Consider the following 17,399-nt stretch of genomic DNA (forward strand, 5'->3'; position numbering starts at 1 on the left):
TTAGCAGAGACGGGGTTTCATCATGTTGGCCAGGCTGGTCTTGAACTCCTGATCTCAGGTAATCCATCCACCTCGGCCTCCCAAAGTGCTGGGATTACAGGCGTGAGCCACAGCGCCCGGCCACAGCCTGGTACGTTTATTGTCCACATTTTTCACGCGGGGGCCAGAGGCACAGAGAGGCCAAGTAACTTGCTCAAGGTCACCCAGCGAGGAAAGGGAGCTGGGGGGTGGGGGTAGGGGACAGGGCGAGGCCAGAGAGTAGTGGGAGGGGCCGAGGCGGCCTTTCCCGGGAGCGCTCGGTTCCCGGCCGGCCCTTCTATTGGCCCCAGTCACTCAGGCTCCCAGGTCCGGCTCGGGGGGGAGCGGGGGGCCGCGCCAGGCCGCTGAAGTGTCCCCGTTTCGCGTGGGCAGAGCGCGCCTCCCCACGCATCCTGCTGAGGGCCAGCCTCTGCTAGGTGCGTGACACGGAGGGGACAGAACGGAAACCTTGTCCTGCTCAAGTGTGGACGTGCGTGCCACGTGCTAGAGTAAAATTGAGGTGGGGAACCTCCATCCCTGGGACATGGAGCACAGGGGCGACCCCGCGCCGCTTGGTCAAAGGAGGTCCGAGGCCCTGCAGGAACAGCCCACAGCCGGAGCGAGCTGCAGGTCACTCCACTGCCTGTGTCCACCTGCGACAGGTGCGCCCGCGCAAGCGGGGCGGAGCCAGGTGACCCGGACACAGGAAGCGCGCCAGGGGCCCCCACACCGCGGAGCTGCTGGCGACAAAGGGCGCTGCTCCTGCATAGGCCAGGCTAATGCAATCTACAAACTAGATTTCTGTGCCTACAGTTTGAAAATGATTGCAGTTCACTCAGCCAGTGTGGAATTATCCTCCTCTTTCCACACTGCCTTAGTCAGTGCCGCTGTCCAAGTGCACGTTGTTGGCGCCCGTTTTCATTTCCTGTTTTGCTAAGAAAGTGGGGCAGTGGCCTCCATGCCCGCCAAGGGACAGGCAGGCCGCCCCAGGGAGGGGTCCCCCTCAGCTCTGGCTCTTCCAGGCCAAAGCCAAGGGGAAGGGGCACCAGAGGGTCCCAGGTCCCACATGCCAGCTCCCTCAGTCTGCGGGGTGCCAGGCTAGGACACAGAAGCCAACAGGAATCCCCAAAGGGAGGAAGTGGAGTCGGGGGTGTGGCAGCCGTGCTGAGATGCTCGGCCTTTATTTACTCTGGGCAGGGACCAAGATAGGCCACTGCAGGCCGGCACCCTGCCTCCCGGCTGCTGGAGCCCCTCCCTCCCAGGAACTGCCAGCCAGGAAAGAGCCTCAGGTACTCTCTGCATTTAATTTTTAATTTTTTTTTTCTTTTGACGCCTCCAAGACAAGTTCAACTCTCTAGTGATTTTAAGTGGGGTTTTTGTAAGACAGCTGGCAGGGTTAGGGCTTGTGAAGAACTTGCATGTCTATGAAGAACTGATTTATTTCAGGGAAAAGTGGGGGATGACGAAGCCAGGCGAGCCCACCCCGTTCAGCCTGCCAATCACACCCACTTCAGCAGCCTAAAACAGCACCAGGTCACCCCACCAGGGAGACAACGCCATAGTGTCACTTGCAGTGCTGGCAGATGGGCACCCTTGGTGGCGTCAGAAACACACCCAGCACCTTGCCTGGAGCAGGGCGGCTGGGCCCTGCTCCGTGAATCCCAAGTGCCCTATGGGAGCCTCTCCGGCCAGGGACTGCCAGCCTAGAGGAGGGGCTGCTGGGTTCTCTGGTGCCCAGGGGAGGAGGGGGCCTACAGGTACTTTCTGCTGAGAGCCTTCTTCACTTACTAGGAAAAAGTTTGGCTGGGTGCGGTGGCTCGGCCTGTAATCCCAGCACTTTGGGAGGCTGAGGAGGGCGGATGACAAGGTCAGGAGATGGAGACCATCCTGGCTAAGATGGTGAAACCCCGTCTCTACTAAAAATACAAAAATTAGCCGGGTGTGGTGGTGGGCACCTGTAGACCCAGCTACTCGGAAGGTTGAGCCAGGAGAATGGCGTGAACCCAGGAGGCAGAGCTTGCAGTGAGCCGAGATCGCGCCACTGCACTCCAGCCTGGGCAAGAGCGAGACTCCATCTCAAAAAACAACAACAAATTAGCCGGGCATCTGGGCCAGGCGCGGTGGCTCACACCTGTAACCCCAGCACTTTGGGAGGCTGATGTGGGTGGATCACAAGGTCAGGAGATCGAGACCATCCTGGCAAACATGGTGAAACCCTGTCTCTACTAAAAATACAAAAAATTAGCTGGGCATGGTAGCAGGCGCCTGTAATCCCAGCTACTTAGGAGGCTGAGGCAGGAGAATCGCTTGAACCTGGGAGGTGGAGGTTGCAGTGAGCTGAGATCGCACCATTGCACTCCAGCCTGGGCAAAAAAGAGCGAAACTCCGTCTCAAAAAAAAAAAAAAAAAAAAATTAGCGGGGCGTCGTGGTACGTGCCTGTAATCCCAGCTACTTGGGAGGCTGAGGCAGGAGAATCACTTGAACCCAGAAGGCAGAAGTTGCAGTGAGCTGAGATAGCGCCACTGCACTCCAGCCTGGGCCACAGAGCGAGACTCCACATCAAGGGAGAAAAAAAAAAAAAGTTCCAGCTGCTGGAGCCATGGGAATTAAAAAATTACTTTTTTTTTTTTTTTGAGAGGCAGTCTTGCTCTCTCACCCAGGCTGGAGTGCAGTGGTGCGATCTTGGCTCACTGCAAACTCCGCCTTCCCGGGTTCATGCCATTCTCCTGCCTCAGCCTCCAGAGTAGCTGTGATTACAGGCGTGTGCCACCATGCCCAGCTAATTTTGTATTGCCTATTTAAGATTTTAAAAAATCACCAGTTTGGAAAGCAGGGAAGTGGATGGTTCTGGAGCCTAGGAGCGGCTATTTGGGACACACACAGCCATGGTTTTCCACACTACCATGGCCAGTGCTCATTTTTTTCTTACTAGATGCAGTTCTTTATATTCAGACCAAGAGGAACACTCAGTTCAGTCCCAAGGAAAGCTAGTCTCTGGAGTAACATCCTCAGACATTCTAAGGGAGGGAAATGGCAGAGGAGAAAGGCAAGGCAGCCGCCTGTGGAGACTCCCACGGTGCTGTGGGCAAGGCCTATGCCTGGGGAGGGGTCTGGGCGATGGCAGGTGGACCTCCCTGCTCTGCTGGCCTGTGAGGTGGAGCTTCCCAGGAACCCCTCCGAGGAGCCAATGCGCCACTCATGGATTCTGTGACGTGGTGGCGGCCATGGCACCGCCTGGCATGAGCAGGCCCGTCAGACCTCACAGCAACAGGGACAGCTTAGGGAAGCGGGCGCGTTGCAAACTGGAAGTGGACCCGTAAATAATCACCACACCAAAGTCCCTCATGTCAAACTGCTTTATTACATCTTAAATAACAGTACAGTTTAATATAGTATCTATCTTGCATCCAGCTTCCTTGCAGTACACTGACTTTAAAATTAAATACAAAAGGTGGAAAGGGGTAAGGGTGCAGAGAGCTCTACAGAGTTGTTGGACGGAAAGAGAAAGAAGGGGTTTCATTTGTATTCTCTTTGCCAGATCCAGGCCTACCGCAAGGTCACAGCACAGTTTTGTATAGAATGTTGCAGAAAACAGGATGGAGAAGCCACTACTGCTGCTATGAAGGAGTGCGGGGGGCGGGGCGGGGGGTCCCACAGAACCTGCTTTCCAAACGCTGCTGCTGAACACTGGCCTTGAAATGAACACCAGGACAATCTGTGTGTGATGGGAATGAGCCACCTCAGATGTGGAGGGCCCTGAAGAATCCATATAGGAGGGCAGGCTCTTCACTCCCTCTCCCTCCCTCTCTCTCCCTCCCCACCCTCAGAATCCAACAGCAGTCGTTTGCAACAGAACTTTTTTTTTTTTAAAGAAATAAAGAAAACAGTGACTTATCCCGCTACCCAAGCGTGTAGAGCCGCGCGCTGTACTGCTTCCGATATGTGCCACAGAGCAGCAACGAGAAGTGGACAGAGCCGCAATGGTTACAACTGTAAGAGGTTATTTCTTAAAAGAAAAAGAACACCTAAGGACTGAGTCCCATATGCACTTTTGAGCATTTCTACAGCATGCGATTCTAAGAGTAAACCCACCCAATATGGCAAACAATCAAAATTTTTAAAATTTAACTTAGAAAGTCTGAGATCATTATTTTCAAAACATTGATTTGTACATTGTTTCATACACAAATAATTGACTGACTATCCAAGCACAGGACAGGCATCTCTCTTGAAAACAGAGGTTCCTCCTAGTTGGGGGTGGGGTAGTGTTAGGCTATTATAAACTTCCCTCCAACTTCACAAGGAAACCCAAAGTGAGATTAAAAACTCAACTGAGAAGATAGACAGGATGGGTCAGGAGGAACATGGTGCTGGATCTGAGCTCACTTTTCAGCAAAGGTGAAGGATTCTCTGATCACGCATTTGAGACCGTCCCCGCATGTGCTTGGCCCCATGGCTTCTGAACATGTTCTTTTCTATGCCACGTTTGTGTGCAACAATGATCTGTGACATCAGACAGAAAATTAAAAACCAGGGACTGAATTTACATCATTGACAACATCAGAGAGGCTGCCCTAGACTCTCTGGTTTTGATTAACTGTTGAACACAAAGGAATACATTTTAAAAAGGAAATATGAATGCTTCCAAAATCTTGCTACAAACATGACTGAAATTTGGACACGATGACCAGATGAACAAAGCCCTCAGCATGTTTTGCATGAATGCCACAAAACAGGGTCACTGGTCTAAAATTCAAATACACTGGTGGAAAAGTGTGTCTGTCTGACAATTACACTCAAGTTTACCTTCTGGTTAACATTTTTATTATATATTTCCTTTTAAAATTCATTCAAGACAAAAAAGAAAACAAAGACGATGGCCCCGGAAGGAATGCACAATTTGTTTTAGTTTACAGCACAGAGATCTTTCTCTCAATGGGAATTGTGCTCTTGGTTTCAGCAATAAGTGAAGGAAAAAAGATCTTGCCCTTTTGAAGTTCTGAGGGGAGGTGTAGGGTGTCCACGTTAGTACGGTTGGATAGGATATGCTCTCATGGTAACGCGTCCAAGTTGGAATGGTCTTCCAGTCTCCATGGCATCCACATGCTGTTTTAAACAGAGTTTAAAGAAATGTGAAAAGAGGCAGAGAATCTAAGTGCAGACGCACAGCCAGGTCACTGCTCTTCCCATCACTGCATGAGTGTCTGCAGCTGAGGGCACGTGACTTCAGCTTTCTGTAAACGTTTCCCACAACACAATTCCAAATCAATGCTACATCAACATTTATCTAGAAACCGTTAATGACAACTTCAAATGTTCTATGAGAAACACGCACAGTTCTCCTCAGAGAAGGGCATTTGGGCTGCTGCATTACCTACTGGCGTTAGTTCCAGATCTTGAGGAAGCTATCCCAGGACCCTGTCGCCACAGCCATGCCATCGTCAGTCACGCCCAGGCAGCTGACGCGGTTGTCATGCCCAGCCAAGACACCTGGGAGCAAACAACAGCAGAATCACACCAAAGCCCAGAGGCATCGATCTCACCTGTGTGCCATGTTGTGACGAGGACGGATGGTGCATCTCTCATGGGACAAGACCCAGAGTCTCCCACGGCCAGGAAGGGAGGGAAAGTTGCATCCACGTGGGGAATTAACCTGCAGCATATGGCCAGCCTTGTTAAAATTCAAAGACACGCACACACACGCAATCGATAAATCCAGAGCCCCTGGCATTGACTTCTCAGCACTCACTTATAAAACTTAAAAAAAGAAGCAAAGGCCACTATCAAAAAAATCAAAACTATCATCAGACGCAGTGGCTTAGGCCTGTAATCCCAGCACGTTGGAAGGCCGAGGCAGGCAGATCATGAGGTCAGGACTTTGAGACCAGCCTGGCCAATATGGTGAAACCCCATTTCTACTAAAAATACAAAAACCAGCAGGGCGTGGTGGTGCGGGCCGTAGTCCCAGCTACTCAGGAGGCTAGGGTAGGAGAATCATTGGAACCCAGGAGGTGGAGCTTGCAGTGAGCCAAGATCGTGCCAGTGCTCTCCAGCCTGGGCGACAGAGCGAGACTCCATCTCAAAAAAAAAAAAAAAAAATCAAAACCGCCCCAATCTCAAAGCAATCTGTAACACAGGAGCTTAGAGGCATGAGCCGTTTTTCCTTTGTCTGTGATCCCTAGAGCCCAGCACAAGGCACAGAACACAGGAGTAGCGATGGTGGCTGAGACCACTGGCACTGCACTGTCACTGTCATGTGATGAGGGGGCCTTCTGTCAACACTCCCAATAACCTTGGCTTGGATCATCACCAGCCAGAAGCTCCACTTCCTCCCAGGGGGATCCGAAGGCCCATTTCAGCCACCCTCCTCCACCTCCTGCAGCCACCACACAGCTGAGTACAGGGGCCGGCGTGTGCTCTGCCAAGGCCTGGGCTGGCTTCCACCGCCCTTCAACAGCACTGTGACTGTGAGACTTGGCTGGAAATGGCTCCACTCTGGTCCCCCCAGGCTGGGGAGAAAAAGAAATGTGTTTAACCAGGAGGTGGGAGTGGCACCCATCCGGAAGCAGGAAGCCCCGGTAAGGGCCAAGACCTGGAGCCATGCTCCCTTCTGTCCTCCCAGGTACTGAGACAAATGAATCTAAGTCTGTAAGTGTCAACAGTTCTCAAATTCAAATGCCCAAATGACCATTTTTAGTAAGGAAGTCTCATCTTTTGTACACCTGGCAATAACACGCTTGCCTTTGATATGTTAACTGTAACGGCACCCAGAGGTGTCCCTGCATGGAACTCCTCCCCCTGAAGCAGAGTTCAGAGGGGAAAGCACGGGGCTGGGCCCTGGAGCCTGCACAGCTGACCCTCTCCTGCCCACTGACTCTCCCCAGAGCCCTCCCCGACGCATGTGGGAAGATCTGCTGGTACTCCTCGGAGTCCACTTGCCTGGAGGGTCAGAGCTGGGCCATCAGTTTGCGACTGTCACTCCTGCTACGCCATGCCACAGTCCCACCGATACTAAAACACTGCAGCTTATGCAACCACTCTGTGTTTGCTCTAAAGATACCACGTAAATGTCCACAAGACACAGAAAGGCCCCATGGCCACGTACCTGCCCGGTCGGCTTTGAGTGCATCCCAGACGTTGCAGTTGAAGTCGTCGTACCCAGCAAGGAGGAGGCGCCCGCTCTTGGAGAAGGAGACAGAGGTGATCCCGCAGATGATGTTGTCATGGGAGTAAGTCATGAGCTCCTGGTCAGCACGAAGGTCAAACAGCCTGCAGGTGGCGTCGTCTGAGCCAGTGGCAAATGCATTGCCATTTGGAAAGAACTGGAAAGAGAAAGCAAATCAAGACATCATGTAAACGCTCAGAAAGAAACATTGGGAATATGGATTGCTCAATGGTAGGGCTGCAGAGAACACAGCAGGCAAAGACCAGCAAGACTGTGCTCTGGTAAGAACAGAGGGCTGGGCCGGGTGCGGTGGCTCATGCCTGTAATCCCAGCACTTTGGGAGGCTGACGCGGGTGGATCACCTGAGATGGGGAGTTTGAGACCAGCCTGACCAACATAGAGAAACCCCATCTATACTAAAAATACAAAATTAGCTGGGCGTGGCGGCGTGCGCCTGTAATCCCAGCTACTCAAGAGGCTGAAGCAGGAGAACTGCTTGAAACCGGGAGGCGGCGGAGGCTGCGGTGAGCCAAGATTGCACCATTGCACCCCAGCCTGGGCAACAAGAGCAAAACTCCGTCTCAAAAAAAAAAAAAAAAGGGTGGGGGGATGGGGGAGGAACTACAGGGGACTGGGATGGGAGGGGATTTGCACTGGGGAGGCACACAAACACTGTGATCTTGGACACTGTGATTACTGTCCCCAAAGAGTAGAATTTATTCCAAAGGATAGTGAGAAAGTAGTCATCACTGACAGGTGTGCATGTTGCTGTAGCTGCCAGCCATCAGGGCTAATCTCATGGAGGAAGGAGGGAAGCGGGCTGACCAAGGCTGTGGTCAGGACTGCAGCAGAGCTCTGTCCAACCAACAGATACATCCTTCTAAGTCTCCTCACAAGGCCAGGGGCTGGAAACACTGCCTAGCCATCCGCGTGCTAAAGAGGAGGGCAGGTTCCCTGGTTAGCTGTGCCCCTGACCAGTAAGGCTCTGTAACCACTGGTGGCCTGAGTTATCTTACTGTCTTTCCCCTCCAGGATCCCAACCACTGCTCAGCTGTAGAGGTGGGAACGGGGACTGGCATACAACACCCTGTGAGTATCTGTGAGACAAGTGGTCAACACAGAGAAGTTTCCCATCGGGAGTTTTCTGTATCCCCATCTGTACATGAGGTTGTATAAGGATCAGAAAGGAGAACATCTAATCCAGAAAAGTTTAAAATTTAGCAATCTGAACGGCTAGCAGAGACGGCAGAGGACCCGACCCCACACCTCCACCCAGACTCACGCAAATGGCATTGATGTCAGACTCGTGGCCAGTGAAGGTCTGCCGGCACATGCCTTCTCGCACATCCCAGAGTTTGGCTGAAGCATCACAAGCACCAGAGACGAACAGTCTGGTGTCAGGAGCAAGAGAAAGGCTCATGACATCTCCAGTGTGTCCGGTAAACGTGGTCGTCTGCTGGCCGGTCTCGATGTCCCACAGGGCACTGGAGCAGGAGCGAATGACAAGGGGACATCAGCCTTAACTTCTTGGGTGGCTAGTCATGTGACAGACAATCTGTCCTTCAAACCACCCAGGGCCACAGTGAGCCTCTGCACTGTTACTTTAAAAACGTAAATTGTTTAAAGACAAATTTAAATGTAATACAACTTTGGAAGGGAAACAAAGCAAAGCAAGCAAAATTATACAGAGATGAGCACAGGGCCTGGGCTTCAGAATGACGGGATCGCTACCTCAACTCAAATGCCAGCAAACAGGGAGCTGGGGGCACTTTTCAAGCAGCACCACTGAGGCTGTGCCCCCTCTTTGGTCATGGATGGGCATGGAAGGGGTGGCAGGAAGCTACGTGGAGGCCCTGGATGGCGGAGGGGACGCGACTCTATCTGTGGCTGCTCCCTCTGTGCCCTCCCTTGGCCTCCCCTCCACAGGGTCTCAGAAAAGGCAGGCAGGAGAAGGCCAATGCCAGGTAAACAAATGGCTCACAGCAATTCTGAGGTCCTCCTGCCCTTTCCTGGAATCACAAACAGGAGAGCAGCTGAGTTCTCAGTGATCACACCTGGTATTTTTTTTTTTTTTTTGAGACCGAATTTCACTCTTGTTGCCCAGGCTGGAGTGCAATGGCGCGATCTTGGCTCACCACAACCTCCGCCTCCCGAGTTCAAGCGATTCTCCTGCCTCAGCCTCTCCAGTAGCTGGGATTACAGGCATGCGCCACCATGCCCGGCTAATTTTGTTTGTATTTTTAGTAGAGACGGGGTTTCTCCATATTGGTCAGACTGGTCTCGAACTCCTGACCTCAGGTGATCCGCCCGCCTCGGCCTCCCAAAGTGCTGGGATTACAGGCATGAGCCACCGCGCCCGGCCATACCTGGTATTCTATCACATTTCTGCTTAACAAGCTGTCAAAAGGTGAGACGCTGACAGAGCCCTGCACAGAGCAGAAGCCTGGCTCAGGTGTAAGGACAGCTGTGAGGGCCACACGCCCACCAACATACTATTCTCCTGTGCCTCGACCCATGGAAGGCAACACCAGAGAGCACTGTCCGTTCATGTCAGCCTCAGAGGAAAGCCTGGCTGGGCCTGGCAATGCAAATCCAATCAGCCAATCTCAACAGACACTGCACAGGGAGCCTCCTCTCTAGGGCCTGAGGGACTGACTGCAGAAGGGAAGCAAGATACGTAAAAGAGTCTGAAAAAAATGATTAATGAACAGAAGCACTTTAAAAATATCTTCTAATAAATAAAGTCTTCTCAAGATTGACAATCTAGGTGACAAATCTTTTGTAAATCTATGAAATTTATACAACGAGGACACCTTATAATACCACAGATGCTTTGCTGACAAGTTGGTTAAGGGCCCATGTCTCGGTGAACCCCACCAACTGCGTGACTAGGGGTCTGTGCCCTGGGCTGGGCACAGCTCCTGCCACCAAATCATGCCTCAGAAGACCAGAAAAACCCACATGGCCAGCTGAAGTCTAAAATGACTCTCATAAAATAACTATCTGGACATTTAATTTAGTACTTTGATGCCACAAATGAAAAAATTCTAGCATTTAAGTGGGCTTCCGTTTACCTGTAAGGTGAAAACACTAAAAATGAAGTCTGATGGAATCACTTGAATTGTGACGTCTGTTATTTTTAGTCTGTGCTCATTGTTCACAATGACATGATGCTATCAGAAAGGGACAATCAAAACCCACCCTACTCCCACCTATCATCACCTAAGGAGGTACAAATATATAGAGGGGAAAAAAAAGAAGAGCAGGTACTTTGAGCCTGATTGTAGTTAAAATATCTATGTTGGCCAGGCATGGGGGCTCACACCTGTAATCCCAGCACTTTCAGAGGCTGACGCAGGCAGATCACGAGGTCAACGGATAAGAGACCATCCTGGCCAACGTGGTGAAATCCCGTCTCTACTGAAAATACAAAAATTAGCTGGGTGTGGTGGCGCACACCTGTAGTTCCCAGCTACTCGGGAGGCTGAGAGGGGAGAATTGCTTGAATCTGGGAGGCAGAGGTTGCAATGAGCCGAGATCACGCCACTCCACTCTAGCCTGGAGACAGAGAGAGACTCTATCTCAAAAAAAAAAAAAAAAAGAAAAAAATGTGTATTTTAGTTCTCAGCTGCTGAAAATTAAACTTTGTAAATTTATTAGAAGTATAATGAGGCTAGGCACGGAGGCTCACGCCTGTAATCCCAGCACTTTGGGAGGCCGAGGTGGGCAGGTCACCTGAGGTCAGGAGTTCAGGACCAGCCTGGCCAATGTGGTGAAACCTGGTCTCTACTAAAAATACAAAAATTAGTCAGGCGTGGTGGCGGGCACCTGTAATCCCAGCTATTCAGGAGGATGAGGCAGGAGAATCATTTAAACCCGGCAGGCAGATGTCGCAGAGCCAAGATTGAGCCATTGTACTCCAGCCTGGGTGACAAGAACAAAACTCCATCTCAAAAAAAAAAAAAGTATAATGAATTCACACATTGCTACTATGTGTTTTAAATCTTAAGGCCACTTAAATTACAGATGGCCTAATATTATGTCAAGAACCTTATTTCCTCCATGTTCACAGAGGAATGTGCCAGGGGCTGTGGGTTCTCAAGGCACTGCCTGCCCCGGGTCAGGTACTTACCACGTGGTGTCTCCAGAGCTGGTGACGATCTGATTGTCATCCAGGAATCGGCAGCAGGACAGGTAACCTGGCAAAGAACAGGCCTAAGTGATGAGCTGAATCCAGCAGGCCTTGCACCCAGCCTCATACATAGAGAAACACATTGGCCCGGTGGAAGCTCTACGTCTAAGGTAAGACCAGCACCATGCTAGTGACCTTTTATTCCCATCTGTGCACACAGCAGAAGGTCCACACGCACTGCTGGTGAGGGTGAGAGCCTGGCCAGGCAGGACAGCACGTCCCACAGAGACCCACAGCTCCGTGATGGGGGCAGAAGCAGAAACCACACCCATGAAACATACACATCTTTCATCTGCTTTACTGTTTGACCCATCAAAGGCTGGGGATCCCTCGTCTATTTACTCATTCAGGGCACGCTGACTCCAGTGCCCAGGAAGCAGCCTTAACCAGACAGACACCTCCTGCTCTCCTACAGCCCACGCTCAGCAGGGACAGAGAATGAGAATCACTGAAAGAGGACATCAGAAAGGGAGTGCTAGGGGAAGGAAGAGGACAAAGTAGGGGCCTCACAAGATGGAAGCCAGGAGAGGAGGGAGGACGAGAGTAGACTCAGAGAAGGAGGATCCAAACAGAGGGCCCAGCCAGGGCAGGAGGCGGCGAGGCCACAGGGTCAGGGTGGCAAGGGCCTGCAGGTCATGGAAGGGATAACGAAGGCAACAGGAACGCGGCATGGCAGCAACACTGCAGACACGGGGGTGCTCGTGAATATGTGTGGGTGGGTTTGTTTTCTTGGGGACAGTGGCTGTGACACCCACATCAGCGTGGGCACAATTCTGTGTCTCTGAGTATTCCCACCCACTCCCACTGGGAAGGAAGCATCAGAGGCGAGAGCAGGACACACCAAGATGCCCCGTCCTAAACAACTTCCAAAATGAGGAAAAGCAACAACAAAAAATCAGTCCGCAATATCCACACATGATGACTGGTCTCTACTAAAAATACAAAAATTAAGCGTGGTGGCGGGCACCTGTAATCCCAGCTACTCAGGAGGGTGAGGCAGGAGAATCATTTGAACCCGGCAGTTCAAGTTGTTAATGACTTCTGTTGACCATTATTTCTTTTGTACATTGATCACAGTTCTGGTATTTACTGTGGAACTAAAAGCATAGGGTCAACAAACCAGTTAGTGTGTGCCCAGGATTGGTGACAGACTGGCCCTAATCTGAAGATTCAGGGGTTCCAGTGGCACTGGTGATTCTTGGGATACCTGTTTAGATTTGAGTGTTTACTGAAAAGCCTTCCCCCCAACTACACCCCAGGGAGTCATGCGACACTGCGTGAATCAGCAAACAACAAAAATAAAATGCACCAAAAGAAGAAACCCACTGGGGTTTTAATGTAGAAAGTGTAAGATTACAGAGAAAACAAAGCATTTATTTAACAAACATTATTATCACTATTTTTTGAGACAGAGTCTCGTGCTGTCGCCAGGCTGGAGTGCAGTGATGTGATCTCGGCTCACCGCAACCTCCACCTCCCAGGTCAAGCGATTCTCCTGCCTCAGCCTCCCAAGTAGCTGGGACTACAGGTGCACGCCACCACACACAGCTAATTTTTGTATTTTTAGTAGAGATGGGGTTTCACCATGTTGGTCAGGATGGTCTTGATCTCTTGACCTTGTGATCCACCCACCTCGGCTTCCCAAAGTGCTAGGATTACAGGCGTGAGCCACCATGCCTGGCCAACAAACATTATTAAACTGGCTCTGACAGAAGAAAAATATGCATAGATGACAGAGCTCAAAATATTAACTACGTGCCTACGAAAGTATGCGTGGTCAAATACTTCCTGGAGGCCACACCACAGGGACACTAGGGACCACAAAGGTGAACCCAAGTCCAGCTCAGAGGAGGATAGCCCTGCATACCTGGCGCCCCCTGTAGTGCCCTGCAGCTTGCTGTCGTGCCCCGCAGCTCACTGTCATGCTCCCGGGTCTCCACCCGAGCCCTCCTCCACTGGCTTCCTGGTTCACACTCACCCTTGCTTCAGGGAAGCACCCCCACCCCGTCAGATGCCCATCCAGACCAGGCCACCGAGCCTTGTAGCACTTAGCCTGTTTGAATGTGAGCACAGAAGGGCAGGAAAGAAGAGTCATGGAGACCTCAGCACAGCCTGCATCTCACACAGGGGACCAGGCGGAGGCACTCCCAAGTTTACTGCATGAAAGAATCATGACCTTGGCTGGACGCGGTGGCTCATGACTGTAATCCCAGCACTTGGGGAGGCTGAGGTCAGGAGTTTGAGACCAGCCTGGCCAACATGGTGAAACCCCGTCTCTACTAAAAATATAAAAATTAGCCAGCTGTGGTGGTGGGTGCTGGGTCTGTAATCCCAGCTACTCGAGAGGCTGAGGCAGGAGAATCGCTTGAACCCAGGAGGCAGAGGTTGCAGTGAGCCGAGTTCACAGCGGTGCACTCCAGCCTGGGCAACAGAGTGAGACTCTGCCTCAAAAAAACAAAAAACATGACCTCATAGGTCTCAAAGATGACCTCTCTGTCCCACCCTGTGCAGGCTGTAGTGAAGCTACACAGAATCCATCAGCTTCTTACTCCAAGAACCAGAGACTGAACCCTAAAATCACAGCTCTCAAGCGCTGATAAAATGATGTGGACAAGCATCAGCTGACAGGAACTATGAAGGACAAGGGGAATGACCGAATGTATAAGCCACACATGGCCCCTGACTTACAATTTTGTGACTTTATGATGGTTTGAAAGACACACGCATTTAATAGGAAAACCATGCTCCAAGTACCCATACAACTATTCTGTGTTTTCATTTTCAGGAGTGTCCAATAATTTACATGAGATGTTCAACTTTTTCTTATAAGATATGTATTATGTTAGATGGTTCTGCCCAACCAGAGGCCACTCTAAGTGTCTGTGCATGTTCAGGTTGGGGGGTGAGGTGTGTCCAGTGCGGCTGGAGAGCAGGATGGGTGGTGCAATGCCCAGGGTGCAAGCATACTCCATGAGGCCCAGTCTGTGAACAGAGACCAGGTCTAACCCCTTCTTCCAGGAAAGCCTCGTAGGGCCTTCTGGCCAAGAGGCCACGAGTGGTGAAGACTGCAGACTCTGAAATCAGAAATACCTGGGCTCCACTGTCAGCATGGCAGCTGAGGAAGAGTGAAAATTCCTCTAAGTTCTTTTAGAAGTCCCAGCCTCCCCATGTAACTGGGGAACTGATGGGAGGAGCAGAGCTGTCTGTGCACATAAGAAGTTCTCAGTAAATGGAGACAGTTACTATTTCTGTTATTATTGAATTTGAACAAATTCCCTGGGTATGTGTGGGGGGACACTTCAGGTGAAAACACGCCCCTCCTCCCCTGGTGCGGGGGCCTGTGCTGCCACCCTCTGGAAGCCTGCAGAGGGGCAGGGAAAACAGACCCTGAACAAAAGTGTGCACCCAGTGAGGAGGTGCAAGGGCACAAAGGTGGCACCAAGTGCCTCAAGGAGAGGCTGAAACGCGGCCTGGGGACCTCGCAGTGGTCTGGTCATATAGGCAGTGGGTGTGAAGGGCTGTCCTGTGTCTCATAGGGACCACTGGCTATAGGGACAAGGCTGTTAAAGTCCAGGAGAGAGGGGGTGGCTTGAAGAGAGGCACGGCAGAGAGTGGAAGCGTAGGAGAAAGATGGGCTCCTGGGCATGTGGTGTCAGCAGAGGTGCCTCAAGGATAGAGTGAGTCCAGAGTCTAGAAAGGAGCAGATCACCAGGCTCTGGGAAGAGCACAGCATGGGTGCACACACTGCTCTACCCAGCATGGCTGCCGACCCAAAGACAGCAAAGCCAAGAAGGACACACAAGCGTGGCCAGATGCAGCCCTGTGAGGAAACTTACCCAAGAACGGGACGATGGGCTTGAGAAACCATCCATCTACAAGGATGGCGTTTGCTGCAGCAATGTTTATAATAAATTGTGGGAAACTGTGAACTGCCTAAATGTCTCACAATAGGAACAAATTAGTGCACCACACCATGAAACTCTCTACAGCTCCTGAGTTACAGAACGACAGTATAATACTATAGTTATATAATACTGTATAATACTACTGCATAACTATTGTATAATACTGTATTTCTGGATGGAATTATAGGGTCTCCCAACATAAAAGATGATGATTCAAAGTTCCTTTCCAAAATTCCTTTTTTTTTTTGAGATGGAGTCTCGCTCTGCCACCCAGGCTGGAGTGCAGTGGTGCGGCCTCTGCTCACTGCAACCTCCGCCACCCCGGTTCAGCACTTCTCCTGCTTCAGCCTCCCAAGTAGCTGGGACTACAGGCACCTGCCACCACATCCAGCTAATTTTTGTATTTTTAGTAGAGATGGGGTTTTGCCATGTTGGCAGGCTGGTCTTGCACTCCTAACATCAGGTGATCCACCTGCCTCAGCCTCCCAAAGTGCTGGGATTATAGGCATGAGCCACCGCGCCCAGCCCCCTTTCCAAAATTTCTACAATGAACACACTTTGAAAGGTTTAGTTCTCCTACCTGCACCCTGGAGAACATCCCTGTTGGGAGCAGGGGCAAGGAGACCCCACCCAAGGGAGGCGCACAGGACACACTGAAAGGCAGGCGGGCAAATGCCAAGAAGTCAGCCATGACCACGCCCAGTCCCTCACTAGTCCTCCTCCGACAGGTGGTTTCAGGAGCACCTGTGCCGCCCCAGGATCGGCTCCAAGGAGCAAAAACAAGACCGTGCTGGCGAGGGACAGGCTCAGCCTAGACCTGGAGGGAAAGGTGCCCAGCCCTGCACCGAGGCATGCACTTGGAGAGCAGAGGTGTTTTCTTCAAGTTCAGTAAGAAGGAAAATGAAAGAGATGAGGAAGTAACTTGAAGATGTGAAAGTGAGGCTCAGAGGGTTGCACAGAGGAGTGCCCGGGCACCATGAGTGCCTCCATGATGGTGTGAGGCTGTGAGGCCCACCAGTGCAGCCAAGATACTGGGGCTGGTAACAGTGAGCCTCAAGCAGACATCCCAGTCACCAGCTGCCCTGTTGTGGCTCCTGAAGCAGGGTTTACGGGGAGACAACATATATCCCCTTCTGTGTCCAAGCTTGTGAGGCCTGTCAGAAAAAAATCCGCTATTTTCATGAATATAGAAAATGTTCTGCTTCTCACTATATGAAGACACCGTGCCTAAAAATGCCAAGTTTTGGCCACCACAGTGGGCTCTGTCACTGACAGCTGTGCACGCTGTATCATGAAGGCCTTAGGCTGGACTTCTGATCAATGCTTATGTATCTGTAGCCATCTTGATCAGAATGATCCAGGCAAGGGCCGCCGTGTCTCCACTGCCCGAGAGGTATGCAAAGAACAAAGCTCTAAGAGCAAGCGTTGAGTCTCCCTGCATTGGCCCTTAGGGATCTGCTTTGATAAAAATCTGAGACTGGATCAGAGGGCTGGAAATAAGCTTTTTTTGGAGACGGAGTTTCGCTCTTGTTGCCCAGGCTGGAGTGTAGTGGAGCGATCTCAGCTCACTGCAACCTTGCCTGCTGGGTTCAAGTGATTCTCCTGCCTCAGGATCCCGAGTAGCTGGGACTACAAGTGCATGCCACCACATCCAACTAGTTTTTGTATTTTTTGTAGAGGCGGGTCTCCCTATGTCACCCAGACTCACAAACACTCTTTTTTTTTTTTTTGAGACGGAGTCTCGCTGTCGCCCAGGTTGGAGTGCGGTGGCGCGATCTCGGCTCACTGCAGGCTCCGCCCCCCGGGGTTCACGCCATTCTCCTGCCTCAGCCTTTTGAGTAGCTGGGACTACAGGTGCCCGCCACCTCGCCCGGCTAATTTTTTGTATTTTTAGTAGAGATGGGGTTTCACCGTGTTAGCCAGGATGGTCTCGATCTCCTGACCTCGTGATCCGCCTGCCTCGGCCTCCCAAAGTGCTGGGATTACAGGCGTGAGCCACCGCGCCCAGCCCACAAACACTCTTAAGAGGCCAAATGTGTGTGTGTGTTTTTTTTAAATAACACAACTCCTTAGAAGTAAAATTTCATGAAATATGAAGGAAATAAAATTTCTAAAATA

General features: G+C 51.3%; 1 protein-coding gene across 34 annotated transcripts in view, besides 6 other annotated features; it reads right to left on the reverse strand.

The window, feature by feature from the left end:
• Positions 842-1,136: a silencer, noted in NCBI's record as "tiled region #14484; HepG2 Repressive non-DNase unmatched - State 1:Tss". NCBI's record gives its function as "represses a minimal TATA promoter and a strong SV40 promoter by Sharpr-MPRA in HepG2 cells {active_cell/tissue: HepG2}" and the evidence as "EXISTENCE:reporter gene assay evidence [ECO:0000049][PMID:27701403]".
• Positions 842-1,226: a biological region, named in NCBI's record as "Sharpr-MPRA regulatory region 14484".
• Positions 1,057-1,226: an enhancer, noted in NCBI's record as "active region_37". NCBI's record gives its function as "activates an Ori minimal core promoter by ATAC-STARR-seq in GM12878 lymphoblastoid cells {active_cell/tissue: GM12878}" and the evidence as "EXISTENCE:reporter gene assay evidence [ECO:0000049][PMID:35858748]".
• The window catches only part of GNB1 (G protein subunit beta 1), a 105,802-nt gene continuing 91,760 nt past the window's right edge, over positions 3,358-17,399 (reverse strand). For 26 of the 34 annotated variants that reach the window (XM_047418076.1, NM_001282539.2, NM_001282538.2 and 23 more), the window contains 5 exons: positions 11,317-11,383; positions 8,467-8,668; positions 7,125-7,341; positions 5,394-5,509; positions 3,358-5,125 (listed from right to left, as the gene is read on the reverse strand). In XM_047418076.1, the coding sequence (XP_047274032.1) occupies positions 5,403-5,509; positions 7,125-7,341; positions 8,467-8,668; positions 11,317-11,383 (593 nt within the window). In that variant the 3' untranslated portion in view covers positions 3,358-5,125; positions 5,394-5,402. The remainder of the gene's footprint in view (positions 5,126-5,393; positions 5,510-7,124; positions 7,342-8,466; positions 8,669-11,316; positions 11,384-17,399) is intronic. The other 8 variants (XM_047418078.1, XM_017001061.3, XM_017001060.3 and 5 more) reach the window with 1 other exon arrangement.
• Positions 8,106-8,289: a silencer, noted in NCBI's record as "fragment chr1:1721473-1721656 (GRCh37/hg19 assembly coordinates)". NCBI's record gives its function as "represses an EF-1alpha promoter that drives an FKBP-Casp9 reporter gene in an ReSE screen in HepG2 liver carcinoma cells {active_cell/tissue: HepG2}" and the evidence as "EXISTENCE:reporter gene assay evidence [ECO:0000049][PMID:32094911]".
• Positions 16,131-16,240: an enhancer, noted in NCBI's record as "active region_38". NCBI's record gives its function as "activates an Ori minimal core promoter by ATAC-STARR-seq in GM12878 lymphoblastoid cells {active_cell/tissue: GM12878}" and the evidence as "EXISTENCE:reporter gene assay evidence [ECO:0000049][PMID:35858748]".
• Positions 16,281-16,330: a silencer, noted in NCBI's record as "silent region_91". NCBI's record gives its function as "represses an Ori minimal core promoter by ATAC-STARR-seq in GM12878 lymphoblastoid cells {active_cell/tissue: GM12878}" and the evidence as "EXISTENCE:reporter gene assay evidence [ECO:0000049][PMID:35858748]".

This window comes from Homo sapiens, chromosome 1, assembly GCF_000001405.40.
Source record: "Homo sapiens chromosome 1, GRCh38.p14 Primary Assembly".
Lineage (NCBI taxonomy): Eukaryota > Metazoa > Chordata > Mammalia > Primates > Hominidae > Homo > Homo sapiens.